Source organism: Homo sapiens, chromosome 3 (assembly GCF_000001405.40).
Source record: "Homo sapiens chromosome 3, GRCh38.p14 Primary Assembly".
Taxonomy (NCBI): domain Eukaryota; kingdom Metazoa; phylum Chordata; class Mammalia; order Primates; family Hominidae; genus Homo; species Homo sapiens.
This window is the reverse complement of record NC_000003.12, coordinates 177,567,444-177,595,273: the sequence shown is the minus strand read 5'-3', so window position 1 is coordinate 177,595,273 and position 27,830 is coordinate 177,567,444. Positions and strand designations below refer to the sequence as shown.

The window sequence follows — 27,830 nt, the reverse complement described above, 5'->3', positions numbered from 1 at the left end:
GGCAGAAGAGTCAAATGATGTATGAAAATGAATAAAATATTGTTATAATATTCAGAGGCAAATTTATGATTTATATAGAAAATTTCTAATATATTCGCTAGTCATGACTTTGAAAAGGCAGAAAATGATGTGAGGAAGGCAACCAAAGATTGTCTTCCTGAAAACAGAATGCAACTTCTTCAAAGGTGAAAATCATAGTCATAGAATTGGATACACAGTGCCAAGAAAACAACTTGATTGCTCCCTTGTCACTAATTGGTTAAATAAAACAATTTTATTTCCGTTGTATGATTGCAGTCTTAGTCTGAGGCACACTGTTCCACGTTTAGTCTGATGTTTGACCCCTGTGAAAGAAGCAGAAATTTGTCAACTGAGGCAAGATGTGTTAACAGGGATAACAGTGTGAAAAATATTAAAGTGCCTTCTCTCCAGGCTTAGTGAGACTTTCTCCTGCACCAGTGGTGGGGAGAGTGTTACAAAGGGAAAGCAAAGAGAAAAAACAAAATAATATTCAGCTTCTGATATTCAAATAACATTTTTCAGCAAATAGGCGCGAAAGCAGGCTATGTCAAGAACTAGAGAGAGCATATTCTATAATTTTGCAGAATATCAAAAAGCAAGCCTAAGGAACTCACATCATATTGTATCTTCTATAGTCAGAAAATATACTCCTTTGATCTATTGATAACTAGGCCCTGAGCCTAGTATGATATAGAAGCAGAAAAATCCTAAAGCCCTTTCTTACTGTCCTTCAACATACCAGGAGGGCTGTCTGCTCACTTGCTGGCTAAATGAAAGCAATGCAGCAGAGAACTCCAAGGAAGCCCTAAGGTATCACTGTGGAATAAAACTTTCTATGATGATGTGACAAAGATTCTTTGCTGAACAAACTTAGACTCCTGAACCTTCTCCTAGGCCTATCTGTGCATTTCCTTGTAAAATCCAGCTTTCGCAAGAGCATGAACAAATCAGTTTGGCAAGACCTCCCCACCCTCAACATCTGATCACGTGTCTCATCCTCCATGATGCCACAGGTAATATCTGATAACACCGGCTGTCTTCAGCAAGAATCCTTTTAGTTAGGCTTAGCCAGAATCCCCCTTACCCCTGATGTTGCCTTTTAGTAATTTTCCATCCGCTGACCCACACCCTGTTTCTCGGCTATAAATCGCTACTTACTCATGCTGTATTCACAGTTGAACTCAATCTCTCTCTGAGTGCAAGACCCATTGCCATGGTCCTTTTACCCGTGACAATGACCCTGCATAATGTCTTCCTTATCATGCTTTTAAAATTGTCATTGAATAATTTTTTTCTTTAACAGATAGACACTTTTTATATTTGTGCTATTCAATGTAGCAAATTACTAGACACATGTGGCTGACAAGCACTTAAGGTGTGACTAGGAAGTGAAGTTTAATATTTTATTTTAATTAACTTAAATTTCAAAAGCCCCATGTTGCTAGTGACCATACGGGAGAGCACAGCCCTAGGGGATGACAAAGTCCCATGATGAAAGAGATCTAGATTAAATCACTATTTGGAAGGGAGCCACAAAAAAAAAAAAAAAAAAAAAAAAAAAAAAAAAAAAAAAAAAAACACCATGATGCCCACCAGACGTTGGTGAGAGCAAGACATAAATATTTATTGTTCTAAGGTTTAGGAGGCTGTAACAGCAGGTAGTTTTAATTAATACTGATAGGTACTCTTACTTTAACCATTTTATCCACACGGAAACTGGGACACACACAGAAGTTAAGTAACTAGACCAGGCGCAGTGGCTCATGCCTGTAATCCCAGCACTTTAGGAGGCCGAGGCAGGCAGATCATCTGAGGTCAGGAGTTCGAGACCAGCCTGACCAAAATGGAGAAATCCCGTCTCTACTGAAAATACAAAATTAGCCGAGCATCGTGGTGCATGCCTGTAATCCCAGTTACTCGGGAGGCTGAGGCAGGAGAATCGCTTGAACCCGGGAGGTGGAGGTTGCTGTAAGCCGAGATCGCACCATTGCACTCTACCCTGGGCAACAAGAGTGAAACTCCATCTCAAAAAAAAAAAAAAAAAAAGAAGTTAAGTAACTAGCCCAAAGTCACATGGCTACTAAGTAGTGGGACAAGAATAGAGCCGGGCAGTCTGGCTAGAGAGCGGTGCCTGTGAGCAAAAGAAAAGGCATAGTTTATGATCCGGGCATCATTACCTCACATTAAAATATATATTTGTAAATTTGCTAAATTATATAATCCCTTTCCCATGTGGCTCACAAGGAATCAAATCCTTAGACAGCCTTACCAATTACAAAAGCAGGCATGCGCATTTCTCACCCACATCAAACCTGCTGTCTGGTTTCTCTGGAAATGACAAGACACTCTGCCATAGGAACACAATGAAAAGTGAGTCAGTTGTGCCCAGACTGAAGGAACGAGAAGTTCTGTAAATATGAAACAGATGGGATTTCCGGAGCTGTTCTCATGCATTTTGGCAGTTTTCCGATGAGCTAGGTTTTTAAAATCCATTTGATTTTTCACGAGGATCTGAGTTGATTTGAACTGATAACAATTGCCTCGAGCCTTGCTCATCCACACTATCCTTCATATTAGGTTGGTGCAAAAATAATTGCGGTTTTTGCCATTACTTTCAATGGATCCACTCATAAGATAATGGATATTCTCATCTCCCCTTTGAGCAGCTGTAATTTAGCCTGATGGCCTCAGCTGATGCACTGACTTATAAATTAGGCTTGCAGAAGACTCTAGGATCTTCTTTCCCTGAGGTCTCTTCAGTACTTACGTACTCAGTTTACAATATGATAATATGCTCCCACGTAGACAATGTTTGTAAACATTCTTATGTATACAGCTCACAATAAAGCAGGTACTGTTTATTGAGCATCAACTTTGCATGAAGCAATTTATCTATATCCTCTTACATAATTCCTAACAAAATGGGAAATAACATCATTATCCACTATTTAATACTAACAGCAAATGGTTGTATAGTCTTTCAATGAACCAGGTATCTTTCCAAGTTAGTTAAGTCATAGCTCAGTCTTCACGAAAATAAGAAAAGTACTATAATCATTATCACTATTTCACAGATTGGAAATTGAGGGGAAAAGATGTTAAATAACTTGCCTAATGACACAAGGCTAATAAGAAACAGAGCCAGGATTTCAAACCCAGGCATTCTGGCTCCAGAGCTATACCTTTGAACTCATTACTATACCTCCTCTGTTTTCGGTTCAGAAAACACTTGCTCAAGAGTACAAAGCTAATACAGGATCATGTGGTTCCACATCCCAGGTTCTTTTCTCCCCATCAGTTTCCCCAAACATCCCTTGTCCTAAGAATCTCTCGTATAGCTTATTAATAGAGAAGCCCAAAGGTGGTTAGGTTCTTTTCAGAGGAACCAAGCAACTGCAGAAACTGCACATTGAACAAGAGGCACCAGTGATCCTGAAGGTCAGGCAGCCTTGGGAGCCACTGCCCTGCTCCAAAGAGCTCCCTCCTTTAGACTCTGAGCTCTTCAACGGGGTTGTGGACCTCTAAGGCAGTGGAATGTATAGCAGTTTAGTCAACTTCATGGATGCACCAGGGAAGTGACTGGTGTTTGGGAGTAGCATAGTTTTTGTGGGCTTTCGCCACCTCTTCCTGTGTGAGAGAATGTGGATATGTCTGAACATGTCATGTGTGTGTTTCTCGGTCTTCCTGCCCAGCCACTTCTGCCCTATTTCACTTTACCCCGCATGGGGCTTGTCTGTTCCCTATTTGGCCTCCCACTCTTTGTTCCTCTCCATTACCAGATGTCAGGAACTTGCAACTGATTAGCCAGCTCCTGCCATTACAAGTCAGTCCCTGCCAGTGTCAGTAACCCAGGATAGGAAATGTAGGTGGGGTCTTAAAACTAACAAACCCTCTGGCTCCAGGTGCCTATATATTGGAGGAGCAAAGAGAGGAGGGAGCTGGCCCACCACCCTGGGCCATCCCAAGGAAAGACTTAAAATATTAAAGTACCTAACTAGATTGACTTAGGACTGAACCGGTCATTGTGCCAGTGTGAATTCAGTTGCCCCCAGCAACCTCACTCCCATCCCTTTTATTCCCCTGCCCTTCCTTCTTTCCCTGGGGTTTTGCCACATCCTGAGCACTTTTAGATTCCTGTATGTGGATAATGTCCCAGGATGTGTGTATGTGGGGAATAATAGTGTTTATTTGGAACAAACAGATGGATGAAGCTGAGAGCATCAGAAGTGTCCAAGGGCAAACCACACCAACAGGAATTAGCACAGAAAGTCGTCTTGAAAAAACAACAGACTTAGAATCAGGAAACCAGGCCCTTCAGACCTCTCTCTTCCACTTAGCAGTTCTGTAGCCCAGGGCAAGTCAAGAAACTTTTCTCCATGTGTATTACCTCTACTCCAAAGGAGTAGGTTGGATTGTTTAATCCTGTGGCTCTCTTTCCAGGCTAATATTCTTTTTTTTTTTTTTTTTTTTTTTTTTTTGAGACAGAGTTTCACTCTCATTGCCCAGGCTGGAGTGCAATGGCACGATTTCAGCTCACCGCAACCTCCACCTCCCGGGTTCAAGTGATTCTCCTGCCTCAGCCTTCCAAGTAGCTGGGATTACAGGAGCCTGCCACCACGCCCAGCTAATTTTTGTATTTTTAGTAGAGACGAGGTTTCGCCACGTTGGCCAGGCTGGTCTAGAACTCCTGACCTCAGGTGATCCGCCCTCCTCGGACTCCCAAAGTGCTGGGATTACACGCGTGAGCCACCATGCCCGGCCTCTAATATTTTATGTTTTAAGGCAAATTCCATTTAAATATGGAGTAATAATAACAATTGAAAAGATCCAAGAGCCATGCAAATTTAAGTAAAAGACCAGAAAACTTGAACTAAGAGCTCAGGAGGTCCTTTGCCAAAATAGAGATAAGTACCAGGGAATAATGCAGGCAGCCAGGCTTGATCTCATCATCTGCCCTTAAGCATAGCAGCCTCAATCTTGGCCTCTCTACCTTCCCACCCACTCCCAGGACAACATCTGACCTCGACTACAAGGGAGACTTGGAATTTGCAACCTTATTACCTAGTAATGTGGCTAACCATTTCCAGAAATATAAATATCAAACACTTCATGACAGGTCAGAGTTGAGTCATTCAGGGAAAAAAGCACACAATAGCTGGTATGGGTAGGACCACAGGAAACTTTGATTGAGAAACCTGAAACCTTTTGTCTCTTTCATTCTCTGGGCCACTCATGGATTCAGAACAGAATTGTTCAAGCCTAGCCTTGAAGTAGAGAGGGGGGCGGGTAGCTAATTCTCCGCAGCTGCACTCAATTAAAGTGAGTCCGAGTAGCCTGGCAAAGAAGACTCAAACCCCCAAAGAAATTGCCCAATAAAAAGCCCTGGCCCTGAAAGCATTGATTTGAAGAGTTAGAGGGAAGCTCAGAATGATTTAGGACAGTCTTATTTCATAGATGAGAAAGAGCTATGGGTACCCAGAAATATACATTTTACCCCATCTCACTAAGCCTTAAAATATAAACTATCATTTATACTAAATCTGGAATCTTTTTTAATCTATAGCTTTGGTGCATAATTGGTGCTGTCTTTGTCACATATAGAGAAAGAAGAACTCCTGAATCATAGCAGCTAGTATTTCTATCACATTTTTCTCATTATAAAATATTCCCTTATAGAAACTACTTTTGAGCCTCACCAAAAACAAACAAACTCTATGAGGTAGGTAGTATAATTCTTCTTTAGGGATAAGAAAATTGTGGCCAACATTACACAAGCAGGACATTACAGAGCCAGGGTTTGAATGGAAGCCCAAATCTCAGATTATTTCTACTGCTCCACAGACCCTACCACAAAGTGAATAGCTCAGTTAACAAAGTAAAGACCACAAGAGTGTGTTAAACACGATTTACCGAGGTTAACACACAGCCAGTGCATACTGTCTGGCCAAATCACTTGTTTTCTGTCAGCATCCATTCTGATGAGGAAGAACTGGTTGCTAAATATCCTGAATATCAACCCCACTATTACCAGTCATCATGGTAGACTCATGCAAGGTAAATGAATAGGTAAGCAAGGCAAGTGAATACCCACTCACTGGGTCTTATCTCACCCCACCCAGCTGCAGATATCTAAAATTCCAGGCATCTGAACATCCGCTACCTGTTAAAGTGTTCTTTAATCACCTGCTAGGTATTGACACTTTATGATGAAGGAAGGATCTGAAAGCTGAGCTTTTGACAGGAAGGACAGAAAACACAAGGTTCCCAGGAACCGGAGGTGGGGACAAGAGGGAAAATTGACAAAGCAAGAAGAGACAGGGAAGACTTAGAGTAAAAAAGTGGAGCTCCCAGACAGGATACTAATGTTCACCGAATTCTTTTTTGGATGTCATTGTCAGTGGTTGATGCTTTCTTATTATCACCTAATTTGTATCCTCATTACAATCCTATAATATTGATATGAATCCCATATTACAGATAAGTAAACAGAGTCTCAAGATCAGTCTTTCTTAGTTGACACTTTTGTCTCAGGTCAGTCCTTCAATTTTCACTTTCTAAATTATTTTTGAAAGTATTAATTAATCCCACCTACCACCCCAGTGGAATGTGCTGGGTAGATTTAAAGTGTCCTGCTTTATGGGTGGGAAATGAAGCAGTGAGATTATAAGACATAGTCAAGTCTACATAAAGAGGATTAGGAGGCATCCTAAAAACGATACCTCATCTTGATAACATTTTATCTTTTATCCTAAAGACTATACTTCCTCTTGATAATATTTTAAATTTTTCTGGAAGCTATATTGAAGTATAATTGCACAATGAAACATTGTACTGTCATTAGAAATAATACTGGATGTGAGTTTTCATTGACATTAAAATTTTTCATGATATGGGATAAAGAGTACAATTCCACTGCAGTTTGAAACATGCAGGCATGTACTGTACAAGTGTGTGTGTGTGTGTGTGTGTGTGTGTGTGTGTGTGTGTGTGTGTAATGGGCAGAGACAGAAAGAGGGAAGAGGAAGAAAAGCAAAAGAAGCTGACGAAAAAGAAACAAGATGTTGTTAACCTACCAAAAGGTTAACAACAGACATCTCTGGGCAGGGAAATGAAGAGTGATTTTTCTTTCTTTTTGGGGAGTAGGGGGTCACCTTCATTTTTTCATGTTTGATATGGTTTGGATTTGTTTCCCCACCAAATCTCATGTTGAAATGTAATCACCAGTGTTGGAGGTGGGGCCGGATGGTAGATGTTTGCATCATGGGGCAGATCCATCACAAATGTCTTAGCATCATCCTTTGGTGATAAGTTCAGGTGAGATCTGGTTGTTTAAAAATGTGAGGCACCTCCCCGCACCCCCACCTCTCTCTCTTACTCATGCTTTTGCAATGTGAGATGCCTGCTCCTGCTTCACCTTCTGCCATGAGTAAAAGCTCTCTGAGGCCTCCCCGGAAGCCAAGCAGATGCCAGCGCCATGCTTCCCCTACAGCCTGCAGAACTGTGAGCCAATTCAACCTCTTTTCTTTATAAATTCCCCAGCCTCAGGTATTTCTTTATAGCAAGAAAACTGCCTAACACAACATTTATACTATTAAAAGCATATTACTTATATAATTTAAAAAATGAGTTAAGAAAAAGGTAGTCATCACTTCTAAACTGTGACTAATCAAAGGGAGCGATAGATGGAAAAGTAAGGTATTTTAGTGATGGCAAAGGGCCCTATGGGAGCAGGAATTACAGTTTGATAATGTGAGAAATATTAAAAATTACATTTTGGCAAGATAATACTGGGTTCCTCTCCTGGACTGATGAGTTAGAGATAGTTCGGGTTTGGTAACAAGGCAAAAACAGAGAAACAAATTCATGCTTGCTCCAAAAAACAAAACAAACAATAAAAACCTTGAAACCTTCCTAAGAGCATGTGCTTTTTTAAGATTTTATTAATTTTTAAAGAATTTCTTAACAAACTTTAAGATAGAAGCAGCTTCATATGTGAATGTTGGGTATACATTTTCTGAATACCTCTTACTATGTAATCGGTTAGTAGCTATTTATTAAGTACCTATACTCTGCTTAGCACTCTACTTGCCATGATATGATTTATTTATTTATTTATTTATTTATTTATTTATTTATTTATTTTTGAGACAGAGTCTTGCTCTGTCACCCAGGCTGGAGTGCAGTGGTGCGATCTTGGCTCACTATAGCCTTCGCCTCCCGGGTTCAAGCGATTCTCCTGCTTCAGCCTCCCAAGTAGCTGAGACTACAGGCGTGTGCTGCCACGACCAGCTAATTTTTTTTTTTTTTTTAGTAGAGATGGGGTTTCACCGTGTTAGCGCCAGGATGGTCTCAATCTCCTGACCTCATGATCCACCTGCCTCGGCCTCCCAAAGTGCTGGGATTACAAGCGTGAGCCACCGCGCCTGGCCTTATCTGATCATTTCTAAGACATTCTCACCATGACTATTTAACCCTATACGAGGGAGACACGTGCACTTGATACTCAACTCTGTTATCAAGAAACACCACCACACTTTATTTTTAAAACCCTCTAGTGACATGGAAGACTTAGTGGTTTACTCCTTAAACCACTAAGAAAATACCCAATCACCTGTCATGTGCAACACAAAAGACAAATTAAAAAATAATAATAAATGAAACAAAACAAAACAGTAGCATTATAATGAAGAGCTATACAGCTTTTGCTCAGTTTCTTTACTTCCTAGTGGTTTGGGGCAACAGGGAGAAATGGATGACTGAATTTAGAGTATCTTACTGAATTACAATTCCTTGGAACTAAAAAGCTTTCTCTTGATTATGGTGTAAGTTACCATAAAAGATAAAGTCTAAGAGCCAGTTTCTAGCCCACAGTTGATTTAGAATCCAGGAAATGCTAAGAAAATAAAAGTTATCATTGAATGATTTTCATTTCCCTATGGTCATATTTCTAATGAGTTCAATTTGGGGCTCCATCTATTTTTTTCAGCAATGTACACTTGGGAGTTTGCTACAAAATTATTTATAGTGGAATATCTCAAAATTATTTAGCTGTTCCAATTCTGAGTGGCCATTTACATGCATTCTTGATGAGACTGTCTTGGCTTGGTAGGTATTTGATAAACATGTGTTGAATTAAGTGGAATTGTTGATTTGGTCAGACCTACTCCCAATTATTTGCTCAGAGATATTTCAGGATCTCCGGCATTGAAAGAGAAATTAGAAATGTATGTCTTAAATACATAACAAACTGTGGACGGTGTTTGGTATGACAGGAGCCTAACTTGAATTAACTTGATAAATGAGGAAATTATTAGCACAAAAAATATAAGGAAATGTGGAAAAATGAAAATTATGGAAAGGTCAGGGATATCACTGGTTCTCAGGAATAAATGAAACCAGAACCAGAACCTCAAACAATGCCAAACCTCTCCCTCCAGCTGTCATTTCTGCCTCTCTCTGTGTGGGCTTCATTCTCTCTCAGCACACACTAACTTTCTCCAGATGGAAGAAAACATGGAAACCACCAGTCAGAAACTCTTCATCCCATAGCTTCTATCTCCAGCATGATGTAACTCATCACAGTTTTAGTAAGAAAAACCCCAAGAAAGTGATCTGATTGGACAAACTAGGTTCGAAGTGCCCACCCATCAGCCAATCAATTGTGTCTAAAAAAGCAGGTATTCTTCTTGCATCCCCATGATGAGAGCAGGGAAAGGAACAGTTACCAAAAGACTGGAGGTGCTTCCTCCAGGGGAAAGGAGGACAGCAGTGCAGCACAAGCAAAATAGCAGGTGCTCAAAGCAGATAAAACCCAAAACCACTATGATTCACCCACACAGGTCACTTTTTTTGGTAGTTATCGTTATTATTATTATTAAAACAACAAAATTGCCATGTGAACTTAGGCCTGCCATGGGTTATAAATGAAGTTATAACATGTTTATAGCTCTTTAAAAAACGTTTTTATAAGGTATAATTGAAATGCAATAAACTACACATATTTAAAATTTGCAATGTAAAACATTTTGACATACATATACATCCATAAAACCATCACCACCAGCTTGAAAATGAACCCATCCATCACCTCCACAAGTTTCCTCCTGCCCCTTTGCAGTCTCACCCTCTTACCTTCTCACATCCCCATGCAACCAATGATCCTTTCTGTCACCATAAAGTAGTCTGCAGCTTCTGGAATTTTGTATAAATGGTATCATAAAGTATTTCCTTTTTCCGGTCTAATTTATTACATTCAGCATCATTATTTTGAGATTCATCCATGTTGTAGCATGTATCAATAGTTCTTTCCTTTTTATTGCTGAGTAGTATTCTATTACTTAGTGTTATGGACTACATTGTGTCCTCCCAAAATTCCTACATTGAAGTTCCAGAATCTAATACTTCAGAATGTGACTGCATTTGGAGATAGGGGCTTTAAAGATATAATTGAGTTGAAATGAGGCCATGAGGGTAAGCCCTAATCCTTTCTGACTGGTGTTTTTATAAAAAGAGGAGATTAGATACCTGCAGAAGCATTAGGTACATTTGACTGAAGCACAGAATGCATAAGACCTCAAGGATGCACTGAGAGAACATAATAAGAACACAAGGAGAAGGCAACCACAGAAGAGAGGCCTTAGGAGAAATCAAACCTACTGACATCTTGATCTTGGACTTTTAGCCTCCAAAACTGAGAAAATACATTTCTGTTGTTGAAGCCACTAAGGGGTATTTTGTTATGGCAGCCCTAACAAACTAATACATAAAGATTTACTACAGCTTGTTTATCCATTACCCTATTGACAAACATTTGCTTTGTTTCCAGCTTGGGGCTATTACAAATAAAGATGCTAGGAAAATTTATGTACGTATCTTTGTATAGAGATAAGCTATCATTTTACTTGGATAAACACCTCGTATTTATGGCCAAGTCATACAGTAAATGTTCCGTTATTTAAAAACAAACAAACAAACAAACAAAAAACACCTTGGCTGGGTGCAGTGGCTTACGCCTGTAATCCCAGCACTTTGGGAAGCCGAGGCAGGTGTATCACCTGAGGTCAGGAGTTCGAGACCAGCCTGGCCAATATGGTGAAACCCCATCTCTACTAAAAATAACAATATTAGCCAGACATGGTGGTGGGTGCCTGTAATCCCAGCTACTCGGGAGGCTGAGGCAGGAGAATCGCTTGAACCTGGGAGGCGGAGGTTGCAGTGAGCCGAGATCGCGCCATTGCACTCCAGCCTGGGTGACAGAGCAAGGCGCCGTCTCAAAAAAACAAACAAACAAACAAAAACACCAGTTTTCAAAAAGTGGTTATACTATTTTACATTCCTACCAGTAGTATATGAGAGTTCTCTTGCTCCATATTCTCAGCAAAACTTAGAGACAGTCTTTAAATCTCGACATCCTAACAGGCAATGTAGTGACATCTCATTGTGGTTTTAATGTGCATTTGCTTAATGACTAATGAATTGGAACATCTATCACATGCTTATTTACCATCCCTATATCTTCTTTGACGAAGTATCTGCTTAAGTCCATCTGCTTAAGTCCTCCAACCATTTCTTATTGGGTATGGTAATTATTTTTTACTTTTTACTTTAAGTTTTGGGATACATGTGCAGAATGTGCAGGTTTGTTACATTGGTATACATGTGCCATGGTGGTTTGCCGCACCCATCAACCTGTCATCTAGGTTTTAAGCCCCACATGCATTAGGTATTTGTCCTAATGCTCTCCCTCTCCTTGCCCCCCCAGTACCCCGACAGGCCCCAGTATGTGATGTTCCCCTCCCTGTGTCCATGTGTTCTCATTGTTCAACTCCCACTTATGAGTGAGAACGTGCAGTGTTTGATTTTCTGTTCCTGTGTTAGTTTGCTGAGAATGATAGCTTCCAGCTTCATCCATGTCCCTACAAAGGACATGAACTCATTCTTTTTTATGGCTGCATAGTATTCCATAGTGTATATGTGTCACATTTTCTTTATCCAGTCTATCATTGATGGGCATTTGGGCTGGTTCCAAGTCTTTGCTATTGTAAATAGTGCTGCAATAAACAAACATGTGCATGGGTCTTTATAGCAGAATGATTTATAACCCTTTGGGTATGTACCCAGTCATGGGACAGCTGGGTCAAATGGTATTTCTGGTTCTAGATCCTTGAGGAATTGCCACACTGTCTTCCATAATGGTTGAACTATTTACACTCTCACCAACAGGGTAAAAGTGTTCCTATTTCTCCATAGCCTCTCCAGCATCTGTTGTTTCCTGACTTTTTAATGATCGCTATTCTAACTGGCACGAGATGGTATCCCATTGTGGTTTTGATTTGCATTTCTCTAATGACCAGTGATGATTAGCTTTTTTTCATATGTTTGTTGGCTGTATAACTGTCTTCTTTTGAGAAGTAATTTTTTATTGGATGCCTGACATTGTAAATTTTACCTTTGTAGGAATTGGATATTTTTATTTTCCTACAAATATTCTTGAGTTGTGTTTTGGGATGCAGGTGAATTACATGGAAAAAGTTTAATCTTCCTGGATCTTGCTTTTGAGCTCTATTAAGTAAACTAGAACAGCATCTAGTCTAGGGCTATTGCGCCCTACTGTTAAGGCAAATCCCTCTAAGTGCTCTACCAGATGTCCTATTTATTTTGAGGTTTTTCTTTTCTGTTTGGTGGCAATAGAAACTCTTCCCAGTCCTGGCTGCATGCACTCTAGGGATTGTTTCCTCTACTCTTCTTGGACAGGTTTTCCCCTGGACTAAAGTAATTTTCTCACATGAATATGTTAATCAGTGATCAACAGCATACTTGGGGATCTCTGCACCTTGCCACAGTTCTTTCTGTATGCAGCTCTCAACCTAGTTCTCTGCCTTGTGAAGATTAGCCAACTTAGCCTCCTCAGCTGCCCAGCCCTGCCTCCTCTGTGCAAAGAGGCAGCTGGGCCACTCCAGGTTCCCCCAACTCACACACAGGAGACCTGGAAGTTCTCTTGGGCAACAGGCAACAGGCTGCCTTATCACACAACTCACTTCATTTGTTTCCTATCTCTTCGGGGTCACTTCTTCATTGACTAACATTCAATGTCTTGAAAACCATGTATTTGAGTTTTTAGGTTTTTAGAAACTGTTTCAGGGCCAGGGACAGTGGCTCACGCCCGTAATCCCAACTACTCAGGAAGCTGAGGCAGGAGAGTCGCTCCAGCCTGGGATATGGAAGTTGCAGTGAGCCGAGATTGCACCATTGCACTCCAGCCTGAGCAACAGAGCGAGACTTCGTCTCCAGAAAAAAAAAAATGGTTTCAAATCAGAAGGTAAAGCCAGTCTGGTAAAACCAATCTGTTATTCCACTTTTTCTGGAAGTAGAAATCTATCGTTCTTTTTTCAATATATTTAAATATATTTGCATATGAAAAGTAACTTTAATATAACTAGAGGACTTCCTATCTGTTGTGAGTTTTTTTGGGTTTTTTGAGACAAGAGTCTAACTCTGTTGCCCAGGCTGGAGTGCAGTGGCACGATCTTGGCTCACTGTAACCTTTGCCTCCCGGGTTCAAGCAATCCTCCTGCCTCAGCCTCCCAAGTAGCGGAGACTACAGGCATGCACCACCACACCCAGCTAATTTTTGTATTTTTAGTAGAGACAAGATTTCACCATGTTGACCAGGCTGGTCTCAAACTTCTGACCTCAGGTAAGTCACGTGCCTTGGCCTCCCAAAGTGTTGGGATTACAGATGTGAGCCACCATGCCCGTCTGAGGACTTCATGTCTGTCTGGAACATTTCTGTCATATGAAATTTCCGTGTGGGTTAAAATAGAGATTGGCAAACTTTTTCTATAAAAGGCCACCTAGAGGGCCCAGTGCAGTGGCTCACACCTGTAATCTCAGCACTTTGGAAGACCAAGGCGAGCAGATCACGAGGTCAGAAGTTCGAAACCAGTCTCTACTAAAAATACAAAAATTAGCCAGTGGTGATGGTATGCGTCTATAATCCCAGCTACTAGGGAGGCTGAGGCAGGAGAATTGCTTGAACCTGGGAGGCAGAGGTTGCAGTGAGCCGAGATTGTAACACTTCACTCCAGCCTGGGTGATGGAGGAAGAATCCGTCTTGAAAAAATAAAAAATAAAAGGCCACATAGTAAATATTTTAGACTTTGTGGGCCACATGTGGTCTCTGTTGCATTTTTTTTCCCAATAACCTCATAAAAATATAAAATAATTTAAAACCATCTCATGGGCTATACAAAAGTGAGCCATGGGCTGAGTTTGACCTATAGGTCACAGTTTGTTGAACCCAGAATCAGGATAATGTAGTCCCTGTGAAAAACCCAAAATCTTAGGGGGTTAATACAATAGCTATCTATTTCCCACACATGTGCAAAATAGGTATTCTTGATTAGTAGGTCTCTTTTCTTACTTTCAAAGCCATAATTCAGGGACATAGATTTCTTCCATCTCCTGGCTCCATTTCTCCACAATGCTCCCAAGATTGTCATTGTAGTAGAAAGAATGTAGATTTCCTGTGAGAGGTTCTTAAGGGTAACTCCTCAAGGTACGATTGCTTCTAACCACCTTCCATTGTTCAGAACTCATTCACATCAGCACACCTAACTGGAAGAGAGGCTGGAAAATCTAGTTTTGCTGTGTACCCAAGAGGAAGAGAAAATGGATTGGGGAACAGCTAGCTAATCTTCAATGCAACGTCCAGGGAATTTAAATAGCTGACTCTGCCAAGCTCAAGCTACTGCCTTTAGTTAATGGCAGGATTTCCTTAAGAATCCAATGATTTTTCAATCCTATCTTTCTGCCTGTTCCCAAAATATTGAGATAACCCTTAAATGGTCTATCTTCTCTTTGAGGGGAGAATTATTGTCTTATTTTTCATTATCTTACTGTTATCTGGAACACGGCTCCAGACAGGTGCTCCAAAAATGTTTCTGTAAGTTAATTTTGTACCTAATAATAACTGGTCCATTAGATTCTTACCTATAAAAGTTATGTCAGTCTTCATTTTAGAAATCAGTCACCATTGGGCCAAAATCCTGAATAATTTTTCCACCATCACCATAGACCTTCCTGTTAATGCACCTTGTTATTTTCTCTGAAATTTTCAGGTATAAAAATATATTTATTTGTACATTATTAAAACAACAAGTATTTCAATTTGACTGGAGTATAGAATGCATAAAAAGAAACAGTAACCATTTCATTCGTTAATTGATTAATTTATTTTATTTTATTTAGAAACAGGGCCTCACTAAGTTGCCAAGGCTGGCCTTGAATTCCTGGGCTCAAGCAATCCTCCCAGCTCAGCCTTTTGATTAACTGGGACTATAGCACATGCCACCATGCCTGGCTTATTTGTTAATTTAATTAAAAGAAAAAAAAAAACTCTGTAATAGCAAGGGATCTCCTGTCTTCAGGGCCGTAGATAAGATTGACTCAACCTCACACACACACACCCCAAGCTGCTCTGGAGGGAGGTCCAAACACCTCTTCAAATCTCTGCTAATTCATCAGAACTTGCATTCTCATTCCAAGCCCTTCTCACAACATATATGTATACTGTCACCGCTTTGCCCCACCTCAACCCAGACATTGCATTCCATCCCTTCACCATTTCCCACACCCTCTGAATGCATCTGGATCCTCTCAGAGGTGGATTCGTCATAAGGCTGATGAGCTCGTGATGCATAACCTTCACAGGTTCTCACGCAGGTTCCTTCCAAAACTCTGTTTCTATTTGCTTCACTTGTGACTTGATGCCATTTTTCAGAAAGAAGTCCTCTTCAACTGCATGAACTTCAGACCCCACAGAACTTGACTCCACACATACCAAGCACTCATGACTATTTTAGCAGATCTTACTTGTAGCTTTGGAGTTAGAAGCCACTGAATTGACTGGTACACTGCCCTAACATCCTTATTGCCCCTATTCTCCTTCTCCTATTTCCTTTTATGTCTACTTTCTCATCTTTTGCTTTGTTGGGGGGCCTTTCCTAATCTAATCAATAGACTCTTTTGTTGAACATACCCCTGAGATCTTCATCTCCACCCTAAGCATCTCATAAGCATATTTATTCCAAACAGATTTTTCACCACATCATTGCACAGATACCTACAGGGAAGCTATAGGCTGTGCAATTTAATCCTGCAACATAAGGAAGAACATGAGCCTGGGAGACTTGGTTCGGTCCTGGTTCTGACCTGACTAGTTAGCTGACCATGAACAAAACACTTCAACTCTTGGAGCCTCAGTGTCTTCACCTCGAAAATGAGGCAGTTGGTCTTAGGTCTATTGAATGTAATTCAACTGTTTATTGAATGTAAGTTCTTTAAGGACAAGACTTGGTCTTATTCACTGTCTGGCATGTAGATGTCCAGTTAATATCTATTGATTGATTGGTTTTAAAATAAAAATAATATCAACATCAGAAACATGTTGTAATGATTAAATGTAAAACGAGATACACACAAAAAGTATTACGTTAACGAATCCAGCCCTCAACCTCAAGCATCTTATACTTTAAGAGGAACTGAAAAAAGTAGTAGAAACTCTCAAAGAGCTGCTGAGACCATAGAGACAAAGGCTGAATTTTGCCCTAAAATATCTTTTTTTTTTTTTTTTGAGACACAGTCGCGCTCTGTCACCCAGGCTGGCATCCAGTGGCATTATCTTGGCTCACTGCAACCTCTGCCTCCTGGGTTCAAGCGATTCTCCTGCCTCAGGCTCCCAAGTAGGTGAGATTACAGATGTGCACCACCACGCCCAGCTAATTTTTGTATTTTTAGTAGAGACAGGGTTTCACCATGTTGGCCAGGCTGGTCTCGAACTCCCGACCTCAGGTTATCCACCCACCTCAGCCTCCCAAAGTGCTAAAATATCTTTTATAACAAAATAATGTCTATCTCCAGAGAAATTCTTGGATGGTTTGGCATCATCACCTAAAATATCAATTGAGAGATCCAAACCAAACTGAAACTAGACAATATAGCATAAAGAATAAGATGACAGTTTTTTAAACAATACTCACCATAGAACTTGGTATCCAAATAATAGTATTCTTTCTTTAGTTTGTCAGAAATTATATTAATAGATTTTTAATTTAAAGTATAGCAAGACATATATGTATATGTATGTATATGTTCATATGCATATAAATATCATTTAAGATCTTCCTGAAGCTGTTTCCATCTCCCAGTGGTGGTATATGATTTATCCTTGGAGGAAATCTGCTATTTTGCTTAGGAAAATCCTTTAAAGAGATTTTTGGCTATGTTTATGAAAGGGCAGACCCAAGGCCTAGAAGGAGAAGTTGAACCAGGAAAGTGAAATTGCCCAGTAGAGTGGATTTTCTTTCTTGGGGGCAAAGATGGTTATGATGTTAATTTAGGGCTGCCCTGAGAACACCAGAGGCAAGGACTTATAGCTCTGAGAATTGAAGGGAAAAATACATGACAAAGGTGACTTTAATTTGAAGAAGATGTAGGCCCTAGCAACATAGTTTTAGCCTAAGGTTTAAAGAAGAAAATAGCCCCTATCCTGTAAATGCTGTGAGAAGCTTAGGGTGCAGAGATGTCTGAGATCCACTTTTTAGTTTTCCTGTGCTGTGTATCGTCCTTGGTCCTTGGATGCCTTTAGTTAAGAGTGGTACATACAACAGGGGCAAGGAGGGCTAAAGGCCCCTCGGTGTCCATGCTTGGGACAATGCCTCTATGAGAGGCCAAGAGGTGACCAAGAACAGAGCTTCTCAAATCTTGATGTGGATCTGAATCCCTGGGGAGCTTGCTAAAATGCAGATTCTCGTCAGAAGGTTAAGGTGGGGCCAGGAAATACCCACCTACTGCTGGAGGGGGTCAGACAGACTTTGAGTAACTGAAATCTGTGGAATGACTCTGGAGCAGCAGAGGTGGTGTGGGCAAGGGCAGTGGCAAGTGACGATCAGGACATGAAAGCAATCTCCAGCAATCCTCGGGTATTCAACAGGGAACTGAATTTCCTACAGAATGGTACTCGATGGTGGAAACTTGGACTGAGATTACATCAGTCTTTTTCACAATATTTTCTTTTTTAATTTCACTGCCCGCCACTCTTTGTGAGCAAATTGGCAGGCATCGAGAAACAAATAGGTAGCAAACACCCATTAACAGAAAAAAGTATGTACTTGGTTTTACAGCTTGGGTGATTTTCATGCTCATGGCCATGGTTTTATAATGCATGCTTATAAGATAGTCATATTTCCTGCCTGTAAAACGGTTCACAGTTTGTCTAATGGAGTCAAATACATCACACATTGTTGTATTCCATAAATAGCATCAAGGCTCCCAGTGGTCTGCTCCTTGGAGGCGTTGTAGTATTTTAGGTCACAGTGGGTGTGGGGACTGTAGAGTTTTTATGTTTTCACCGTTTCCTCTCTGAGAGTTTGGGCAGCATATGTAAACATATTTAATATAAGTTTACTTACATAACATAACTAAGATATTTAAAACCTCACCTGCTTACCTAGACCTATCCTTTCAGAAATTTATTACTACTGCACAGGAGAAAACCTGGACATACCAGCACCACAGAAAATAACTCACATTCTACCCCATCGGCGCTTCTCCTGAAACCATTCCTAAGCCCCCAATTAAGTCAACAACCAATCCTTTGCAGAGTGAAACACACATTAAGAAAGAATACTCATCTCTGAAAGAAAATATGGCCATTCACATCAATATCCTGCAGTATGTACTGCCAAAAAAATTGTAGAGTTAAAAAAATTCAGACATATAATCTGTTGTTTGCTATGCAACTGGCTATTTTCTATACAATTATACACTGGTAGACCAACTGTTCAGCATTAAATTGATATTTTGTGGATAAGATTAACCAGTTTAAATAAAAACAGAATCTTAGTTGGCAAAACCTTAAAGGTCACCTAATTCAAGAGCTCTGCTGATGTTAGAGTGCTCTTTTCACAAGTAGCATGGAGACTATGGTCAATTACTTCTGGTAATGGGGGATCTAGTTAATTTTTTTTGGCACTTCTAACCATTGGAAAGTTCTCCTTAAGTGAAACCGAAATGTATTTTCCTGTGCCTTCTATGCGTTGGTTCTAGTTTTACCCTTTATAGACATTTGAAACAATCTAATCCCTCTTTCACATGACAGCATTTCAGATATCTCAAAATACTATTATTTTTTTCCAGCCTGTTAGTTTTCTACATTATAAAAGCTTCCTCCCGAGGTCATTAATTGAGCCTCAAATGGCACTGTGTTAAGTCCATTGTAATCCCAAGTATAACCATAGCCTTTACTATGGAATAGGTAAAGCTATTGCAAAGATGGTCCCTGAAAAAAAATGAAGAAAAAAAACTTCATGGTCCGTGTTCAGATATGTTCTGTATGCAAACTCTGGGCTAAATAAAGTCAAACAGACTTTTTTTTTTTTTTTTTTTGCAGGAATTCTCAGTCTTTAACATGCTAGTATGCTTTGTGAAACTTTAAAAAGAAACAATATAAAGCGGTTCTCAAAAATACAACTGCATAATTTCCAACATTAATAAGTGTCACACTAACAAGGAACATTGACATTCAAATTGGACTGTCCTGAGTCCCATATTCAACTTTTCTACTTTCTGACTATGTAACCTTGAGGAAACTCCTTAAACCCCTCAGAGACTCATTTTTCCTCTCTTGTGAAATTGGGATAGTAATGCCTACCCCACCTGGTTACCAGGAGAACAAAAAATACAGTAGATAACATATAATACCTTATTTACTGTCCAGCACATAATTACTGCTCAATAAATGAAGTAATTATTAGATTTCCATATGTTCCAAAGAATACAAGCTCTTCCCCAATTATTTCTATCAAATACAACTATGTCCAAATGGATAGAATTAAAGATTTCTATGAGCTTTTGCATTATACTCTTGCTTCATCCTTCCTTAAAGGAAACACACACCCAAAAATCTCTTCCTCCTCAAAGCAATAAAATAAGTGTGCATTGCAAAGCATGCTGGAATTAGTAGAGAAAAAAAGGAGGAAATTTAAGAAGCCTTTGGAAGGCTATATATATTGGAACAGGATTAGAGCTACATAAGTTGTCTCCCCAGTTGCAGCATCTACCCACCCCTTGGAAACAAGAAGCAAAAAGAGAAAGAGTTGTTGAGTTTAATAAGCACAAATATGTACTTCCCAAACTCTCTCTTTGCAAATTATTATTATGGGTCCCTGTTGTTCCTGGGGAGAGTAAAAATTAGAGTTAGCAGCATGAAAAGCTGGTGGATCAACTTTGGCAGTGAATAAGAGATACCTTGTTGGTATTGTGATGATTAAATGATATGCTATGTGTAAAGTGTCTAGAATCAAAGAAATCGGACATTGTTATGATCATCACCATCATCAACAGCACCATCAAGGAAGAGGAAAAGTGCCCCACATCGTGCAAGTAAACAGGGGGGTGGAACATTGACCCCATGTTGTGGTAAGGCAGAGCCACCCGAATTAGAAGAAATCCTTGCTAAATGTTAATTCCAGCACCAGCTCCGCCCCTGCCTAGCTGTGTGACTTTGAACAAGTGATCTTTATGATGTTTTCGGCTTCCTCACTTGTAAAAATCCTCTTTGAGTCTTTCTAGCTCTAACATTCTGACCTTAGGATCATCTGCACCAGGTACTGATTGTGAAAGGCAGTGACTGGAGTGTTTGCTATCAGGGAGGGAAATACTGATGATAGGGAGGAGAAGGAGAGCCAAGCTATGGGCAGCTCCTCAGTCAGCAAGCACTGAGTGGGAGGGAGGAGTTGCTGGGAAAGACCAGCCCAGGACAAAACACCCACATGGGATGTCTTCCTGGGCTGCGCTAGTTGGTATTTACATAGCTACCAAGTGTGTGCGTGTGTGTGTGTGTGTGTGTGTGTGTGTTTCTTTGCAGCCTTAGCCATGGTGGAGCTCAGTGTTAGGCAGAAGAGCAAAGAATATAAGCACGTGCTTTACAGTGACAGAACAGTCCCAGATGGGTTGCCACATAAAATGCAGGATGCTTAGTTAAATTTGAATTTCAAATAAACAATAAAAAAAATTTAGTATAAATATGCCCCAAATATTGCATAGGGCATCCTTATACTGAAAATGATTTGTTATTTACCTGAAATTTAAATTTAACTGGGCATCTTTTAATTTTATTTGCTCATTCTGGCAGCCCTGAGTCCCAGGGTTAGCTGCTCATAAAGAAATAGAGTGTATACACAGTTATTTTATACAATGGGCAGAGAGAGATGAATCTCACCACTTAGGATTTCATGTACAATTAGCCCCTTGTATAGACACTTAACTTGCACCTCTGGAAGCATAAGCTTTATGTGGTAACTTGTCAAGGTCAGAGCATCCCTGGACCAGCATTTGAAGAAGACGTGTGCCTAAGTAGGAAAATCGTTTTTCTTCTCTGCTCATGCAGACAGCATAGTTAGTAATTGAGTAAATGTCTTTGACATTAAGCTGACCTGGATTCAAATCCCAGACCTTTGGTGGCTCAATGTGTGGCCTTAACCAAGATACATAGATTTTTGCAAGCCTCAATTCCCTCAAGTGTAAAATAAGAACAATAGCATCTAGTTCATGGGGCATTCCTAGTGAGATACTCCAAGTACTCAGTGCACGTCAGGTAGTAAGCACCCAGTGAGGTTCACTAAGGTTATTTTGTGCATTTATGTATTAATTCACTTGTTTTATCTAAATGATTAATTTGTCAGAATAGAACACATGCATTTATTCTTACCCCCCATTTATTTCCGGAAAGAATGATGCAGATAAGAAATATGTGGCTCAGCCAGGTGTGCTGGCTCACGCCTGTAATCCCAGCACTTTGGGAGGCCGAGGCAGGCAGATCACCTGAGTTGGGGAGCTCAAGACCAGCCTGACCAACATGGAGAAACCCCGTCTCTACTAAAAATACAAAATGAGCCAGGCGAGGTGACGCATCCCTGTAATCCCAACTACTAGGGAGGCTGAGGCAGGAGAATCGCTTGAACCCAGGAAGCAGAGGTTGCAGTGAGTGGAGATTGTGCCATTGCACTCCAGCCTGGGCAACAAGAGCAAAACTGCATCTCAAAAAAAAAAAAAAAAAAGAAGAAAGAAAAAGGAAAAAAAAGAAATATGTGGCTCTGTGTAGAATGGAGGCATTGTCTAGGGCAAGTGAGAATGAGGGTGAAGAAGTAAATGTATAAAGCATTGAGAATTTCCAACTGAGCAACTTGTTTCTACAATTGGAGAAGCTGAGGAAACTATCTGGGCTTCTAAACCAATATTAAGATTAGAATATTTCTCAGCTTGCAGAAATAGTAGAAAGAGAAAGGCTAGTATCCTATTCGTTTCCCCTTTCATTTCTTTAGGAGCAAACCACTTTCTACCCTGTGACCTTCACAGTAAAAACAGTCTATAAATTTACTAGGTGTCATTTTATTGTCCTCCACTACTTTTGACAACTGCAATATAAATTTCGGTCCATAAATTCAAAACGCAAAAAAGAATTGTTTTATTTTTCCTTTAATCTACCTATGTGTGCTCCCAAGCCCTCATTCTGCTAAGTGCCAGAAATTTCATCTTTGTTACCTCAGAGTTTTGTCCCTATCCCCTCCAGGGGATGCATCTGAGATGCATACAGTAGACTTAAACTACGAGGAAATTTCATCAGGTTCTGGGTCTCCCTCTGTACATTTTGGCCCCTTCATGACATTCCGCACCACACCCCTCTGCAGTCCTTGATCCAATTCAGCTTTCTGAGCATAGCAAAGAAGCAACTGGATGTTCATAGAATATTGATAAAGGAGGAGTGGAAATGTTAATTGCGTTAGTTGGTTGCTTAGTTGCTGGGGTAGCTTTTCCCCTGGTTGGAAAGAAATTGTCTCAGGATAAGAGCCAGATTTGAGAGAAAGGGGTACACCATCCACATTTCTTTTTCAGTCTTGGAAAAAGTCTGAATAACCAAAGCAAGGTGGGGTGTCAGAGATTGGCACTTGGAGTGAGAGGCAGTTCGGAGCTTCCCAGAGCAGGATGAGATCAGCCCCAAGAGAAAGCAAGGAGCTCTCTCTCCTTCAGGAGAGGGGTGGCAAATTAGCGAGATGCAAGCATGAAAACTGAGCTAGGAAAGCCATTCGGCTGACAAGCCTGGATGAATTCAAGCAGCAAGAGGAAGAGCTAAAACATTTTTAATACTCAAATTACAAGTGTCTCCCAGGAAAGCTAAGGGAAAATGCAGGGAAACTTAAGATGTAAGAGAAAGTAAATGCTTTCAAGAGAACAGAAAGGGAAGTTAAGTTGTATTAGGTTGAAAGAATGCTTGTAAGGTTACAAGAAGTGGTACTTCACCAGCCTTTTCAAAAAGTGTTTATATAAATCTTCTCTGATGCAAAACAAAACAGCAATTAGAGGTCATGAATTACTCACCTGTTATTTTAGTGAAATGTTTTATACAAAAATTAAAATTTGCTGAATCATGTGCCATTTTTGTCTCCTCAGCTTTGTCTGAAATACTCCATTCACTAGGCCTTTGTACCAATTAGCAGGCTTCCCCCAGTCATTGTCTGATGGTAGCTACCAAAATTATAGTTAACATGGTGCTATAGTTTGAATGTGTCCTCTATAAGTTCAAGAGTTGGAAACTTGGTACCCAATGCAGCAGTGTTGAGGGGTAGGACTTTGGGGAGGTAATTGGGTCATAAGTACTCCACCTCATGAGTGGATTAATTCCTTCATGGATTAATGGACTCATGGATTAATGGATTACAGGGTTATAGAGGGAGTGGGTTAGTCATCACAAGAGTGGGTCTGTTACAGAAGCCAGTTTGGCCATTTTTCCTAAGTCTCCTAACCACGTGGTGCCCTGAACTGTCTCAGAACTCTGCAGAGCCACCACCAGCAAGAAGGTCCTCACCAGATGCAGCCCCTTGACCTTAGACTTCTCACCTTCAAGAACTGTAAGCAATAAATTTCTTTCTTTTGTAAATTCCCTAGTCTAAGGTATTCAGTTATAGCAACAGAAAATGGACTAATACATATGGCTAGTAGATAATGATCTGCCTTAGGTTTTGAAACCTGTTTGAAATCTCTAAGGCCCAGGATCTTACCCAACCTCTTTTTTTAGGTTAGCACTAAATTTCAGTTACTAAATAAAGTGTTAGTTTCCTCCAACAGGGCCCTGTATATCTAATGCCTGCTTAATGTCTCCTCTTGAATGTCTTAATGTCAATTCAAATGGAACTACTCTTACCATCTTCCTTCCCCAAAACAGGTGGTCTTCAGGGCTGTCTCCATGAAGTCATCACCAGCCTTCCCAGGCCAGGACTCTCCATGCCATCCTTAGCAAGGTCCTCACTTTATGTAATCAACTCCTAATTTCTATTTTGTTTTATCCTCCAGATAATTTTTGAAATTTTCCTCCTTCAGCTCTACCATCCCAGTCTAGGCATTATCATCTCATACCTGCCAGGGTTTCCTAACTGGCCTATGCTCATCCAGTCTGCATTGCCCCCATCTGTCCTCCACTCTCCAGCTAGAGTGATTGATGTGACATGAAAATCATAAGTTGTCCTCTGCTTAAACCCTTCAATGCACCCTGCTTTTCTTAGGAGAAGAAAACAAATACCCGGCATCCATTTCCAGGTCCTGCATGATGTGATGGTGAGTCTCGCAAACATTAGCCATCCTAATCACATGCCTTTGCTCCCTCCACTCCACTCACACAAGTATTTGGTAATTACATCCTTCCTCTCCCTAGGGGCATTTGCATATGTTGATTACTCTGCCTGAACCTGCTTTTCCCTCCCATCTGCACCTAATTAATGCTTACTCAGCCAAGCATTACTTCCCCAGAATCCTGGCCAAGTCTAATGCCCATTATGTGAGTTGTTGGGGCACCCTGTCTCTCTCCTCTATAGACCTTCTCCTTTTGTAAGTTTGTATCTGTTTCCCTAATGATTTGACTAAATGTCTGTCTGGCCCATTAGGGTGAAAACTTAGACTCTGTTATGGGTTGCATTGTGTCCCCACAAACAAGATAATGTTGAAGTCCTAATCCCAAATGCCTGTACATATGTCCTTATTTGGTACTTGGGTCTTCGCAGATTTCAGCAAGTTATGATGAGGTCATTAGGGTCAGCTGAGTTCATATGACTGATGTCCTTATAAGAGGAGGGAAATCTGGACACAAACATTGACCCACAGGGAGAGGGGAGAACACTTGTGAAGACACCAAGACACACAGACAGAGGGAAGATGGCCATGTGCAGATGGAGGCAGGGACTGGACTTATGCTGCCACAAGACAAGAAACACCTGGGGCTGCCAGATGCCGGAAAAGGCAGGGAAGAGTCCTCCTCCAGAGTCTTCAGAGAGAACATGACTCTGCAAGCACCTTGATTTCAGACCTCTAGCCTCCAGACCTGTGAGAATAAATGTCTATTGGTGTTAGGCACCCAGTTTGTAATACTTTGTTACAGCGGCCCTAGGAAACTAATACACACCATAACCCATATGAGGGCAAGAACCTTATGTATTTTTACTCAGCATTGACTTCCTAACTTCTATCTCAGAAGAAGTGCCTGGTTATGTAATCATTCCCTGTAACAATAATCTTTAAATAAGGAAGGTGATTTTCACAATTACCTAGGGAACTTTTACCAGGTGGGCAAGAGCCCACCATGAAGTCTACCCCAAGAAGATTCACCCACATATCTATAAAACATTTAATAAAAGAAAGAAATCTTCCTTCTTATACCAGATTTCCGTAGCAAGTATTACCTGAGTCATTAGGGCAGCACGCCCTTCTTTCCCTGAATTATCTGGGTAATTGCACAACTGCTTCACTTCGGTTGCATAGATAGTTAACTGCGCACATTTGGTGTGGTAATTGGGTAGTGGCCAAGGAACACAAAATACATGGCTTCAAAGCAGGTGCTTACAAAAAGGACTCCACTTAAACTGAAATTCAGCCCAAAGAGTTGATTAGAAACAACTCAAAAGGGTCAGTTAGTGAGTCTGAGCACTGGGGGAAAGGGGCAAATAATACTGTCTTTTTCTTTAAACCTAGTCAGAAGAGAAGACAGGAATATATGAAACAGGAGCAATCACAAGAACGTAACAGAGGACACAGGTGTCATGTTCATGGCACAGAACAGAAGCCCCATAGAGTTCAAAAGACGGGATGACTGGAGATATCCTTGACACATTGAGCTAAAAAAAAAAACTAAAAACAAGGCCAGGCACAGTGGCTCACACCTGTAATCCCAGTACTTTGGGAGGCCAAGGTGGGTGGATCGCCTGCGGTCAGGAGTTCGAGACCAGCCTAGCCAACATGGCGAAATCCCATCTCTACTAAAATACAAAAATTAGCTGGGGGTGGTGGCAAGTGCCTGTAATCCCACCTACTCGGGAGGCTGAGGCAGGAGAATTGCTTGAACCTGGGAGGTGGAGCTTGCAGTGAGCCGAGATCACGCCACTACACTTGAGCCTTGAGCCTGGGCGACAGAGCAAGACTCTATCTCAAAAATAAATAAATAAATAAATAAATAAATAAACAAAAAAGCAAGTTATGAGACAATATGTTTATTGTTTTTACATAGAATAGAAACAAAGTTCCCATGCATGTGCCTATATGTTTATATAATCACAAAGAAATAAGGAAAGTAACAGAGGAATGTAGGTGGGAGAAGAGGCAACTGGAGAAAACTTTTATTTTTCTTACATGTATCTGTATCATCTGAATTGTTCAAATAAGAGGGGATTAGTTTTCTAATTCAAGTAACAGAAACTTTAAAATCACACCTCCAAAAAAGGAAAAAGTATTTATCCTCACATTTAGTCTTTCAAAACGAGACTAGCCTATGAATGATACTTTTAGTTCTGTCAATCTTCTATTATTTCTCTCAGGTAAGAATAATTAAGACCACAGGGGAAAACATCCACCTGTCTCTGTGTATGAGGCCCCAACTGGCCATGTCTCACAAGAAGCACCTCTCTGCAAATGGACACGTTTCACCACATGGGCTGCAGAGAAACCATTTTTTGTGTTCCTCTTCCTCCACTCCAGAAAATAAATACATACACAATACATTTGCAGCCAAAAGAAAACCCTATCACCCTGATCCAGGGGCTCGCATTCAGCAGGCTGCCATGGTGTGCAGTATTTAGGTGGTTGGTAAGGGTGACTGAAGTCTTAGTGTATCTGATCATGCCAGGCCTAAGGAATTAGTCAGAGCTGGGTTTGCAAGTGGTGGCATTTTAATGATTTATTGAATTTCTCTTAAGGTCAGTAGTTTATGATTTGCCATTTTTTTAGAAAAATAATCTATAAGAAAAAAAGGTCTATTTTGCTTTACAGGAACTTTCTAAGTGCATGCTTTAAGAGGAGAAAATCAGTACAAATAGCCACTGTAGCATACCTCATGCCTAACCTCGTCACATGAACTCCAGCCCAGATAAGCAGCTTTCTGAATGTTATTGGTGGAAATATGATTTTCAGAGGGAAAAGAAACCATCCTTGGGTCAGAAAGTTGGTGTTATCAGCTTGTAACATTATTCCTTGTTGTATAATTTTATCTCTGGGACCATTATTTCACTTCAAGTGGACTGGAAATTCAGAGTTAGCCTGATCAGTCATCTCACTCAAGGGCCTTCAAATGCATTTTTTTCATATTCTGAGGTGCCTGTGTGGCATTCACATTTTTTCTTAAAGTAGTTAGGGTCACAGGTAGAAAATATGACAGTTAATTAAAAGGAGCTGATAAGTGCTTCCTCCAGAAGGCCAGTTCTGCCAGGAGCCCC

General features: G+C 40.5%; 2 long non-coding RNA genes across 2 annotated transcripts in view, besides 3 other annotated features; one reads left to right on the top strand and one right to left on the bottom strand.

Moving 5' to 3' along the window:
• The window catches only part of LINC00578 (long intergenic non-protein coding RNA 578), a 310,784-nt gene that overhangs the window by 157,431 nt on the left and 125,523 nt on the right, over window positions 1–27,830 (bottom strand). The gene's annotated exons all lie outside the window — the stretch shown is intronic.
• Window positions 5,127–5,327: a silencer, noted in NCBI's record as "peak4936 fragment used in MPRA reporter construct". NCBI's record gives its function as "represses an SCP1 promoter by STARR-seq MPRAs in K562 erythroleukemia cells {active_cell/tissue: K562}" and the evidence as "EXISTENCE:reporter gene assay evidence [ECO:0000049][PMID:32103011]".
• Window positions 6,127–6,327: a silencer, noted in NCBI's record as "peak4935 fragment used in MPRA reporter construct". NCBI's record gives its function as "represses an SCP1 promoter by STARR-seq MPRAs in K562 erythroleukemia cells {active_cell/tissue: K562}" and the evidence as "EXISTENCE:reporter gene assay evidence [ECO:0000049][PMID:32103011]".
• Window positions 11,555–11,722: a silencer, noted in NCBI's record as "fragment chr3:177301340-177301507 (GRCh37/hg19 assembly coordinates)". NCBI's record gives its function as "represses an EF-1alpha promoter that drives an FKBP-Casp9 reporter gene in an ReSE screen in K562 erythroleukemia cells {active_cell/tissue: K562}" and the evidence as "EXISTENCE:reporter gene assay evidence [ECO:0000049][PMID:32094911]".
• LOC124906306 (uncharacterized) lies at window positions 23,905–25,317 on the top strand. The gene is made up of 4 exons (XR_007096176.1): window positions 23,905–23,987; window positions 24,302–24,377; window positions 24,639–24,690; window positions 25,234–25,317. It is a non-coding gene; the product is annotated as an uncharacterized LOC124906306 (long non-coding RNA).